Source organism: Homo sapiens, chromosome 7, assembly GCF_000001405.40.
Source record: "Homo sapiens chromosome 7, GRCh38.p14 Primary Assembly".
Taxonomy (NCBI): Eukaryota; Metazoa; Chordata; class Mammalia; order Primates; family Hominidae; genus Homo; species Homo sapiens.
In genome coordinates this window covers 46,142,175-46,155,250 of record NC_000007.14, presented here as the reverse complement: position 1 = coordinate 46,155,250, position 13,076 = coordinate 46,142,175, and the positions used below count along the sequence as shown (strand labels likewise).

Sequence of the window (13,076 nt, the reverse complement as noted above, 5' to 3'; positions counted from 1 at the left end):
AGGACCCCCAGAAAGGTAGCTGTGGGTCATCAGAAGACAGCTTTGAGACTCCTGGTACACAACTCTTTAGTCTGCTAGGTGGACTTGTCAGCTCCTCTTAGGGCAGAGATGATAGTCTGGTTGTGGAAGAGAACAGTGAAGTGTCCCTCACTTGGAGCCGACCCTGAATTCTGGCTTGAAGGATCTTGCAAGTTGTTTAATTGGGATAGTCACAGACAGCCTCTGCGTGCCTGAGATGAGTGGTCTCGACCTGAGGAGCAAAAAGGCAAATAGTGCTCCAGAACAAGTTAGCTCTTTTTAAGAAGCCAAAGTTAAAATTCTTGTAATCCTTTTTGGCTTGGAAATGGAAAAAAAAAATACAATCAGGAAAATGAGAATTAGATTTGCAAACGATATTTTAATAAAAATAGGATAATACAAAAATCTCATTTTAAAATTTGTTTAAAATGTATCCATTATGTTTTAATGATAACTCAGAGTTATCCCTGATGAGGCAACAGGAGGAGGCAGAGAAATGCCCCAACTTTTGAACTTTGTACGATGTACATGGGTGGCAAAGTTACCCAGAAACATGTGGCCTAAGCAGAAGCAAAGGTCACTGGTTTATACAAACTAAACAAAGTAGAGTGTCCTGAGGAACAGTGCACAATGCTGTCATCTAGCAACTGGGAGCCACTACTCTAGGGGCCTCTAGGGGTCTCTGACATCAGCTTTTGCCCTTAACTTCCCCCTGGCTACGTTTGAGACAGATGATCTTGTGGTGTAAGAAACCTCCAAGGCTGAGTCCCTGCCAGGTGATTCAGGGCCATGGAGAAAGCACTACCCTGCTTAGTAGAAATTCCTTCCCCAGAATCCTCGTTGGCTTGCCCTCAGGATTTTTTACTTTGTTTACTATGTTTTACTCAAAGGTGATATCACCCAAAAGGTGGGGAAGGCATTACACATTCTCTCCCCACACCATTTGGAAATCCCCTAACAAGCATTACTAAAGCCCAGCCCTGCTTAGCTGGTGAAATCTCACTAATCTCTTGCCCAGGGCACTGCAATTCCAGTGACTGGTCCACGTGGAGAATTGCTAAAGGAGGTTTCTGTGTGTGTTTCAGCTTGGTAGAGACAACTCAGCAGGTGATGCCTCCAGGCTGCCCTCAGGAGAGGCAGGTGCTTCACAGCTTCTGCTCTGCAGGCTCGACATCAACTTGTGACACTGTGGAAGGAGCGGGCACCTCACCCTCCACAGTGTGTGGCTAGAACAGTCATCCAGTCCACACAGCACTTTCTGTTCCACAACCAGCCCAAACTGCCTTTACAATGCATTAGAAAAGCCACCCTTCCTCCAGCAAGTAGTTGCTATCTGCTGCAACATAGTTGTCAGAAACATGTAGATCTACAAGATCTGTTTGTGTAGAGAGCCCCAGGATTTGATGCCCTAAATGGTGGGTGGACCAGGGAACATGACACTCCTTCACAGCTGTGGGACCTCAGTGTCAGAAGCATCAAATGATGTGTCTCACATTGCACTACCTAAAATGAGTTAGATTTAGTTCTGTGGGCTAAAAATGGAAGTGAGAAAGGAAAAAACAAGACTTAACACCACAGCCTGCTGATAATGGCCCGAATGTTTAGGAGAAATGACAATGTATCCTTAGAAGGATTTTTTGTTTTGTTCTGTTTTGTTTGTTTGTTTGTTTTTTGCTAAAGTCTCCAAGTTTTTCTTCCCCCTAACACAGGCAAATACACAGGAGTACCTGCTTTTCCTTTTAGATTTTCACCTGACTTTTAGGGTCACATGCATGCAAGCTGAATATGCTTTTCTTAGAGCCAGTGGGATTTGCAAGAGGAGTATGTCTACTGGCATTAAAATGAAAGTATTGTCAAAAATGTCAATGGTAGACCACCATAATGTGTGTGTTTGTGTGTATGGGCATGTGTGTGTGTGCGTGTGAGTGTGTGTATTAAAAATAAGTTTTGAACTTTCCTAGAAAATTTTTATGGTGGTCTACCGTTGACATTTTTTTGTGTGTGTCTACACAATTCAATATTACTCAGCAATAAAACGAAAGCCACTACTGATACACACATGAATGTGGGTGGGTCTCTAAAACAAGGCTGAGGGAAAGAAGCCGTGAAGTCTTTTCTACATGTATGCATTGGTTGGGTCGTTGGTTGGTTGGTTGGTTGGTTGGTTCTGACAGGAAGCATGTTGTTCTGGATCCAAGACAGACCTGATGATTCACAGAGCATCTTGTGTCAGTTCCCCATGCAGCCCCTCCCCATGGGACGATGCAAGAAGAGCAGTGGGCACCTACACATGTGATTTGGTTTGTGCCACAAGAAGGAGCTCCAAATCATAAATCTTGCAGCTTATGTGGGTGGCTGGTACAGCTGCCTGGCTCCCCCTCTGGAGGAAAGAGAGAAACCTGGTTTTTTTGTTTTTTTTTTTTTTTGACATAAACAGATCCTCTCAGGTGGGAAGGAGAAGCCTTCAGGTCCATTGCCCTTTGGAATGTAAGCTAATGGCTGCAGAGCAGATGAACCATAGTGTTTCTGGAATAACTCCCCATCTCTAACTTCCCAGACATGGTTACCATCAATCATCCTTCAGCCCAGGTGGCCAGGACTTTTTGCTTAAAAGCCCAGATCATGCAAAAACTTGAAAATATTCATGGAGTGTTGTTTTTTGACAGAAGCCAGACATAAAAAACTCCATACAGTATAATTTTTTGTTAGGAAATCTAAAACATCGAAGTGAATGTGTAGTCACTGAATGCAATCAGCAGCTTTCTGGGGCTGGGACAAGTTGGGTGATGGACAGTAAAGGGGAAATTTCTGAGGTGATGGGAATGCTCTATGTCTTAATTTTTGTCACAGTTTCACCACTGTAATATTTGTCAAGTTTCATCCAACTGAACAGTTAAAAGCAGAGCATTTACAGTCATGCTGGAATCCTCAGTAACATTGTTGACAAGTCCAGCTTGGACAGATTCCTTTGAGTTGTTTACATGGAGACTGGTGGGCAGCTTCCAGCCACACTGGCCAGTGCTCCTACTTCTATACCACTCTTTTATTCAACTTACATATAAATAGTCATGTACTGCATAACAACATTTTAGTCAATTATGGACTATATTATAGTGGCCCCAGAAGATGATAATACTGAATTTTTACTGTACTCTTTCTATGTTTAGATAAACAAATGCTTCCCATCGTGTTACAACTGCCTACAATATTCAGTATAGTCATATGCTGTACAGGTTCGTGGCCTAAGAGCAATAGGCTATACCATATAGCCCAGGTGTGTAGTAGGCTCTACCATCTAGGTTTGTATAAGTATACCCTGTCATGTTTGCACAATAACAAAATGGCTTAATGACACATTTCCCAGAATGCACCTCAGTTGTTAAGAGATGCATGACTGTGTATGACTTGTGTGCTTGGTTTCACGATATGTAAGTCAAATATTGCTATAGCAAAGGTACCAAAAACTGGAGCCTCTCATTTTCCATTTCTTATACTCTCAAGTCTCACACCTAGCAAATAACATGCTCTTTGAAATGATGATAATAATAATAATAACAGAATCTTATGTTTGAACACACTGCCACTGTAGGATGGCTCCCCAGCCTCAATCACTATATCAACAACATAAGAATGAGTCAGGTTTAGGGAGCTAAGGTTCTGCATCATGGTGTTACATAGCTAAGGCTTCATTGAGCTCTTCCTTTATATTGGTGTGTAGAACACTCAAAAGTAATACAACTTCTCTTTTCCTTTTTTTCTTTTTGCCATATGATATTAAAATTGATAGAAAAAGTGCAGCTTCTCTACAATTGCAACATGGAGTTACAGAAGAATGTTTAAGCACTTTTTTTGTCTTCCCAATAGCCACTGTTGCTAAAGAATGGAAATTAAGCCATATCCTTTAGCAACAGAGTGATACAGCTGAGCAAAATATTTTTAAAATAAATGTTTTTCTTACATTATAAAGATGACATGTTGTTGTTTGGGAACATTTAGAAGATACAGAAAAAGTAGAAGGGAAAAATATCAATCTACACTCAAACTCTTGAAAATTGGTTTCTGCCAAAAGGCCCATAATTCTTTTAAATGCCTTTTCCTCACCCCAGTGATTTCTTCATTTCTCTGCTTTTTAGACTCCTCTATCTCATGAGCCCAGAAAAAAGTCACTGCTCTTTGTGTTAGATATCAACATGACTTAGAACCATTGAGTTAGAATCTGGTCATCCCATATTCCATGTGGCAATGACACATACTATAGATTGAATCCACCTGGATAATTTCCTGTAATTCTTTAGTCTGGAGACATCTTGTTCACCACAGCCACCTCCCACTCATTTTCACACCCATCATCACAAGCTTTTCTTGTTAACAGAACTTCCAAGTTGCACCCACCTGTCCCCACACATGCATAGAATTCCTTCTCCTAAAATGGCCCTATTTTAAGGAATCTAAAATATTTCTTTAAAAAATCATGAGACAAATAAATTCCTTCTTCTACAATGGAAATAAAGGAGAATCAAATATATACAAATCTTGTCTTTGTGGATTTACAGTAGGGAATGTAAGGCACAAGCACAAAAGCACTGAGCTGAGGCAGAAGGTAATGGTTAGCTTATAGAGTAAGCAAAAAAAATGATTCTGAAAACACTATACATGTACACTACAACTGAACAATTAAGTAAATGAATGGCAGGTGGTAAGAGCCAGGTTTCTCACTGTGGGAGAGGCAACAAGCAAGAGAGGAGGCTCTAATGACCCATATGGTAGTGGATTAGTCTTGGAAACATCACTGTGAACTCATGTTTATCTTGATGTAGAGATAGGCACACACAGAAATGTGTACACATGCAGGTTGGTATGCATATGTATTTTCTTGCTCTGTCAGGTCAAAGTGCCTGCAAGCAACTATACCCCAGCACCAGCAAGCACAGGCACCCAGATCTTGGTGTCTAACATCATTCTCTCATGAAAGGAGCCAGGGGTTCTCAGAAAAATTGCTGATTCTAGGACTGGAACAGGAAGTATACGAGATGATCCCGAAGTATCTTACTGTGCCAAAAAGCGAGCAAGTGCTGAAAATAAAACCCAAAACAAACATGTTGGGGGCATGTCAAAGGAACACAGAAACCAACTGGAAAAGGTCTCAATGGCCAAAACTGAAACAATTTGAAAAACAAAAAGTAACATTGGATGATAATTCAAAATATGAAATAAATAAACATGAGTCCATACTGATCAAAATAAAACATTGAATAAATAAATAAATGGGGGTGAAGAGAAAAATGTCCTAGGCGGGAGCATTCCGAATAATTTATGTAGAAACTCTGGCCTCTAGAAGATGGAGTAAACTCTTCACCCCTTAAGTGTTGATTGTTGATAGTGTCTTCCATCCAAAGAGTACAGTATGAAAAGAAAACAAGTAACTTGACAGTAGAGAAATATCACCAACATAACCTCAGCCAGAGATCAGGGTCAACATTAACAGGGCGAAGTCATGCTGACAGTGCTTACCCTTGACAGGATGTGATGAAAATGGCCCTCTATCTCTGTGGCCTTCCTCCCAAGAACCTATAACCCCAGTCTGTTGATGAGAAAGACATTAGACAAATAACAGTTAGGGGACATTATACAAAACACCTAACCAGTCCTCCTCAAACTGTCAAGATCATCAAAAGCAACAAAATTCTGAGAAACTGTCACAGCCAAGAGGAGCTGGAGGAGACATAACGACTAAATGCCATGCAATATCCACAGTGGGATCCTGGATCAGAAAAAGAACATAAGGTAAAAATTAAGGAAATCTGAATAAAGTATGGACTTTAGTTAATAATAGTGTTGCAACGTTGATTCATTAATTGTGAAAAATGTACCATACTAATATAAGGTGTTAAACAGGTATATGGGAACTCTCTGCACTATCTTTGCAATTTTTCTATAAAATAGAATGAACCAAATGCCCATCAATCAATGAGTGGATAAAGAAACTGTGATATATATATATATGTGTGTGTGTGTATATACACAATGGAATACTATGCAGCCATAAAAAGAATGAATTAACAGCATTTGCAGTGACCTGGATGAGATTGGAGACTATTATTCTACATGAAGTAACTCAGGAATGGAAAACCAAACATTGTATGTTCTCACTGATATATGGGAGCTAAGCTATGAGGACACAAAGGCATAAAAATAATACAATGGACTTTGGGAATTTGGGGGGGAAGAGTAGGAGGGGAGTGAGGAATAAAAGACTACAAATATGGTGCAGTGTATACTGCTCACATGATGGGTGCACCAAAATCTCACAAGTCACCACTAAATAACTTACTCATATAACCAAATACCACCTGTACCCCAGTAACTTATGGAAAATTTTTTAAATTATAAATTAAAATTAGAAATCATAAAATTTATCTTTATAAATAAAAATTATATAAATTAAATTAATATAAATTATAACATGATTGTTATAAAGAAATAAATTTTTCTATAAAATAAAATTATTCTAAAATAGTCTATTTAAAAACAAGTAAATAGAAAGAGAAATGGAGATTCAGAGGGAAGAGAAGTGAAGAAGCATTTTTATGTCTATCTACGCATTTGATCCTCCTGGCAAGAGTGCTGTTCCTATTTTAACTATGAAAAAATTCAGTAAAATTCAGCTACTTATCCAATGTCACAGAGAAAATTCCAGTTGATATAAATATTTGGATGTTTATTCTGTACTATTTGGTATACTTTTCTATATCTGGATATCCTTACCAATAAAAGCAATCACTGCTGACTTAAAAAAATAACAGCAGAAAAATCATGGGAGGAATAAAAGATATCAAATCTCCATTTAGCAATACATCCCTATAACTTGCCTGGTACTTGAGAGCTTTCCAGATGCTTGCACCAAAAGGAACTATCAACAGAGTAAACAGACAACCTACAGAATGGAAGAAAACATTTGCAAATTACACATCCAACAAAGATCTAATACCCAGAATCTATAACAAGCTTTAACAAGTCAACACACACACAAAAAAACCTCATTATAAAATGGGCAAAGGACATGAACAGACACTTCTCAAATGAAGACATACACTCAGCCAACAAGCAGATGAAAAAATACTCAACATCATTAATCATTAGAGAAATGCAAATTAAAAACCACAATGAGATATCATCTCACACCAGTCAGAATGGCTACTATTAAAAGTTCAAAAAACAACAGATTCTGGTAAGGTTGCAGAGAATACGGCTCGTTTATACACTGCTGGTGGGAATGTAAAGTAGTTCAGCCACCATGGAAAGCAGTTTGGAGATTTCTCAAGGAACTTAAGACAGAAATACCCTTCAGCCTAGCCATCCCATTTTGCGTATATACCCAAAGAGATATAGATCATTCCACGGCAAAGACATATGCGTGCATATGTTGATCACAGCACTATTTACAATAGCAAAGACATGGAATCAGCCTAGATGCCCATCAGTAGTGGACTGAATAAAGAAAATGAGGTACATATATACCATGGAATACTACACAGCTATAAAATAACAAAATTATGTCCTTTCAGGATAATGGCTGCAAGCCTAAGCAAATTAAGACAGAAACAGAAAACCAAATACCACATATTCTCACTTATAAGTGGGAACTAAACATAGAGCACACATGGACATAAAGAAGGGAACAATAGACACCAAGCATACTTTTCTAGGTGGTGAAAATTTTCTGCATCTTGGCTATGCAATTGTATTCATTTCTCAAAACTCATTAAAATATGCACTTAAAAGTTGGCTTTTTAAAGTATAAATTCCTAAACCTGACCAAAATACATTTGCAATAAACATCTCCCCGTGCCCTGCCCCACAGACATAATATCATGCTGTTATAATAATAGTGTATATACAATTTTTTGAGAACTCTCTTCCCACTGGATATACTTTTTGAATAGCTTTCCCTGTTGCTGCACTATTCTGAGTCTGAGATGCTGCCATCCAGGATGGTCCTAGGCTCCAGCCACTGGAGGGAAAACAGCTAATCCAGTGAGATCCAACACGTGATAAGACCAGCATCCTGAGTGTGCTTTCCGGTGTTGTGAAATTAATTGACGTGTCACCAGTCCCAAATTCACATTTTCTCCGTGAGGCATCTGGGGGATGCAATCGTGTCAGAGAGCTGTGAGGCATCAGAAGTGAGGCTGGCACAGACTCCTCTCAGCAGGCCAGGGGTGCATCGCTCCTCCCCTTTTCTCGGGCACTTCCCAGCGTGAAGCTGCTGACTCCATGCCATGTGTACTTTTAGAAATGAAATGCCCCAGCCCACTTCACTCTTGGCATCTATGGATTGGAGTGAACACTGAAGTTAACAGACATCTGAATAAGAATAGAAAAGAAATCCAAACAGAAAAACCACATTCCCTTCCAGTCTAGTTAAAGCCATAATTTTAAATTAATCACTCACATTCTGTTCAGAGGTTATTTTCTTGGTCTATGACATAGTCACCCAGGATACTCATAACTGGTAATAAAAATTATGAGGGCAATTAAAAATACCAAGACTCCGGTTCCGCACAATGAGCCTTGCCCCTGACCAACCAAATGGCTCATCATCCATCCCGAGGGCAACCACTGGGTGCCTTCTCTGATGGCCTCTTCCAGAAGGCTTCTCCAATTACAATGGTCTGTGACTTGTGATGACACAATCTCCTAAAACCCCAAATCTTCTACAAACTCTTCCAACTCCAGTAACCCCCAAAGCAGGGCAAACTAAATAGATAGTCCATTTCCTTCCCAGGGGATAGAGTCAGAGTCATTAAAAGTGGTCTTTAATGTGAGAAATTGAAAAGGAGTTGGGAAAGTGATAATAACTTCTGCAAGACCAGGAAAGTGTCATTAAAGACATGATGGGAAACCAGTGAGAACCCTGCTCACTTTGGGCCATTATTGATGGGTAATGAAAACATAAAGGAGTTCATAGGGAGTGAGACAAAGCTTTCAGGCTATGAGGAGTGACTTCCAGAGGAAGCAAGGTCCTGAAGGAGATGTACTCAAAAGAAAAGAATAGCATAAAAGGGGCATAGAGGGAGAAGGGGCACTAGAGGTGGGGAGGAGGGGAGAGGGTCACAACTGGGGCAGACCACAAGCATTGGCAAGAAGGGGAGGGGGACAGAAAAGAGCAGCCCAGAACCATGGGTGCCTTTCTTCCCGTTGTGCAATTTTTTTTTTTTTTTTGAGACCGAGTCTCACTCTGTCACCCAAGCTGGAGTGCAGTGGTGCGATCTCGGCTCACTGCAATATCCGCCCCCGGGGTGCAAGTGATTCTCCTGCTTCAGCCTCCCCTCCCGAGTAGCTGGGATTACAGGCGCCTGCCACCGTGCCCCACTAATTTTTATATTTCTTGTAGAGATGGAGTTTCACCATCTTGGCCAGGCTGGTCTTGAACTCCTGACCTTGTGATTCCCCCACCTCGGCCTCCCAAAGTGCAATTTTTGATGCTGAGTAAAACTGAAAGCTGTGCCCCATTGGAAGGCTGTTGTCCCACACACCTTACACTCATAAAGTTTCTCCCCAGTGCAAACTCTGATGCAGAACCTAGATGATTTTTCAACTGGATGCTTTCTCACATTCCTGGCATTCATGAAATTCTCCCCCAGTGTGTGTTCCTTGCTGCACTGTGAAGCAAGAGACACAGGGAGCCTTTGCCAGCATTCCCCAAGTTCACAGACGGTTTCCCAGCATGGAATCTCTGGTGCTGAAGAATTACCCACCTCTGGCAGAAGGCCCTGCATGCTCTTTACATTCATAACATTTCTCTCCCTGTAGACTCTGTGATGCTGAATCAGGACAGAGGAAGACTAAAACTACACCCACACCCTTTACATTTGTAGGGTTTCTCCTTAGTGTGAATGCACACTCATGAACCGAAAAGCATGTTCATATTCCTTACATTCAAAGGGTTTCTCCCCAGTGTGGGTTCTCTGATGCTGAATAAGTGTTCCATTATATCTGAAGGTTTTCCCCAAGTCCCCACATTTCTAGGGCTTCTCTCCATTATGAAGTTTCTGATGTTGCAGAAGGAAGGACTTTCTTTCCTCCTTTCTTTCCTCCTTCCCAATGCCCAGTGAAGGCATTGTCTACATGCTTGATGTGAGCAGGGCTTCTTCCCAGTGTGGATTTTCTGGTGCCATGACTATTTCAACCCATATCTGAAGCCTTTCCCATCTTCTTTCCACTGTAGACCTTCTCATGAGCAGGGATCCTGTGGTGCTTGTGAAGATCTGAATGTCAGTTGAAATATTTGCTACATATATGGAACAACTGCATCCTAGCAATGCTCTGAATTGCAATGAGGTGTGTGCTGACTTCACTTTTTCCCAATTTCTTGGCTATCTCCTCTTTAGATGGTGGAGGGTTATAACCTTGGGCTGTCAAAACCCTAAATTCTCTGCTCTTTAATTTTGTTTTCTTCCCTGTGTCGTACAGCTGCAGCTTCTCTGAACCGTCCCTGAGGTCAGAGTCCTGGGGAACATCAGCAATGCTGCCCTGGACATCTGACACTCAGGATCCTCTGAAATGTTCAGCTTTGGATCTGGTTCCCACTCCTGGTCTTGGTTTTTCCACCTATGCAGCATCTCTCGGAGCCTCTTCATCCATGGGTGCCCAAGGATCAATGCTTTTTTTTTTTTTCTTTTTTTGTCTTTAGTTTTCTAAAGTTCAATTATGATGTGTTTTGTTTTGTAATTATTTAGGCTTATCTTGTTTGGAGAACACTCGGCTTTTTTAAAGTGTTGCTCTACATTCTTTGTCAAATCTGAGACATTTTCAGCCTTTGTTTCTTCAGTTAGTTTCTCAGCCCCACCCTTTTATTGCCCTCCCTCTGGGACTCTGATGGTACAAATGTTAGATCTGTGTTACTGTCTCACAGTTTTCTCACTGTTGTTTGTATTAGGTAATTATATTGCTCCATCTTCAAGTTCACTGATTCTTTCTTTTATATTCATCCTGTTAACAAGCCTATACAGTAAGTTTTAAATTTCAGTCATTGTATTTTTCAGTTCTATCATTTCCTTTCAGTTCTCTTTCACAGTTTCTTTTCTTTGATTCCACTTTCTATTTTTTTTCATTTGTTTCAGGAGTATTTGTAATTGCCTACTGCAATCTTTAGCAAAAAGAGCAAAGCTGAAGCTGAAGGCATCACACTACCAGACTTCAAAATACACTGTTGGGGTTCAGAAAACAGTAGCCCAAAATGAAAGCCTCAGAATCAGCCTCAGAAACAAAAGATTTTCTTTGACTTTTCATGCCTTCCTGTCTCTCAGTCCCATTCTCCCCTGAGGCTTGCCATAGAAACTAGAATTCCCATTCTGTAAGGTGGCTCATAGAAACCAGAATCTCTTTTCCCCAAAGACAGTCATAAAACCTAAAAATAGTACTCTAATTTTTTCTCCACCTTTCTATGTAAAAACTGGCCATGTAAAAAAATAACTTAAAAAGAAAAAAAGTTACCTGATCTACCTTGCTTGACTATAGGTCATAAGACCCCCCCATTCCAGAGAGGGTCCTGCTTTACACCCAGAAGGAAGGAATGCCACTCAGAGAGGCCAAGAGAAATATTGACAGACAGGCCTTGTTGGGTTTCCCCACTCCATCTATTAGCATTAGATCATGTCCTTTTTTGTCCAGTCGTATTTCTTCAAAACTGTTCGTACTTTGTTGAACCTAAGCACAAAAGTGGACAATTTCCCCTGAATCTTTGGGTCTTCATTCTGAAGGTCTCTGTGTACACATGTTAAATAAATGTGTATGCCTTTATTAATCTATATTTTGCAAGTTGATTTTCCAATGAATCTTCTGAGGGCAAAGGGGGAAATCTCCCCTTGGTCCCTGCAATACTGCAAAGCTATCATAGTCAAAACAATACGACACCTGCATAAAAACAGACACATAGACCAATAGAGTAGAATAGAGAGTCCAGAAAGGAATCCACACACCTAGAGCTAACTAATTTTTAACAAAGGTGAGGAAAAAACAGTCTCTTTAATAAATGCTGCTGAAAAAAACTGGATATCCACATGCAAAAGAATGAAACTAGACCCTGTCTTTCACTATTTAAAAAAAATCAACTCTTGTAAATTTGTTTGAGTTCATTGTAGATTCTGGATATTAGCCCTTTGTCAGATGAGTAGGTTGTGAAAATTTTCTCCCATTTTGTAGGTTGCCTGTTCACTCTGATGGTAGTTTCTTTTGCTGTGCAGAAGTTCTTTAGTTTAATTAGATCCCATTTGTCAATTTTGGCTTTTGTTGCCATTGCTTTTGGTGTTTTAGACATGAAGTCCTTGCCCATGCCTATGTCCTGAATGGTAATGCCTAGGTTTTCTTCTAGGGTTTTTATGGTTTTAGGTCTAACGTTTAAGTCTTTAATCCATCTTGAATTGATTTTTGTATAAGGTGTAAGGAAGGGATCAAGTTTCAGCTTTCTACATATGGCTAGCCAGTTTTCCCAGCACTATTTATTAAATAGGGAATCCTTTCCCCATTGCTTGTTTTTCTCAGGTTTGTCAAAGATCAGATAGTTGTAGATATGCGGCGTTATTTCTGAGGGCTCTGTTCTGTTCCATTGATCTATATCTCTGTTTTGGTACCAGTACCATGCTGTTTTGGTTACTGTAGCCTTGTAGTATAGTTTGAAGTCAGGTAGTGTGATGCCTCCAGCTTTGTTCTTTTGGCTTAGGATGGACTTGGCGATGCAGGCTCTTTTTTGGTTTCATATGAACTTTAAGGTAGTTTTTTCCAATACTGTGAAGAAAGGCATTGGTAGCTTGATGGGGATGGCATTGAATCTGTAAATTACCTTGGGCAGTATGGCCATTTTCATGATATTGATTCTTCCTACCCATGAGCATGGAATGTTCTTCCATTTGTTTGTATCCTCTTTTATTTCCTTGAGCAGTGGTTCGTAGTTCTCCTTGAAGAGGTCCTTCACATCCCTTGTATGTTGGATTCCTAGGTATTTTATTCTCTTTGAAGCAATTGTGGATGGGAGTTCACTCATGATTTGGCTCTCTGTT

The 13,076-nt window shown here is 40.2% G+C and overlaps 1 pseudogene, besides 2 other annotated features; it reads right to left on the bottom strand.

Moving 5' to 3' along the window:
• Positions 466–760: an enhancer, noted in NCBI's record as "tiled region #10400; HepG2 Activating DNase matched - State 5:Enh". NCBI's record gives its function as "activates a minimal TATA promoter and a strong SV40 promoter by Sharpr-MPRA in HepG2 cells {active_cell/tissue: HepG2}" and the evidence as "EXISTENCE:reporter gene assay evidence [ECO:0000049][PMID:27701403]".
• Positions 908–977: an enhancer, noted in NCBI's record as "active region_25973". NCBI's record gives its function as "activates an Ori minimal core promoter by ATAC-STARR-seq in GM12878 lymphoblastoid cells {active_cell/tissue: GM12878}" and the evidence as "EXISTENCE:reporter gene assay evidence [ECO:0000049][PMID:35858748]".
• On the bottom strand, positions 9,483–10,677 carry ZNF619P1 (zinc finger protein 619 pseudogene 1; annotated as a pseudogene).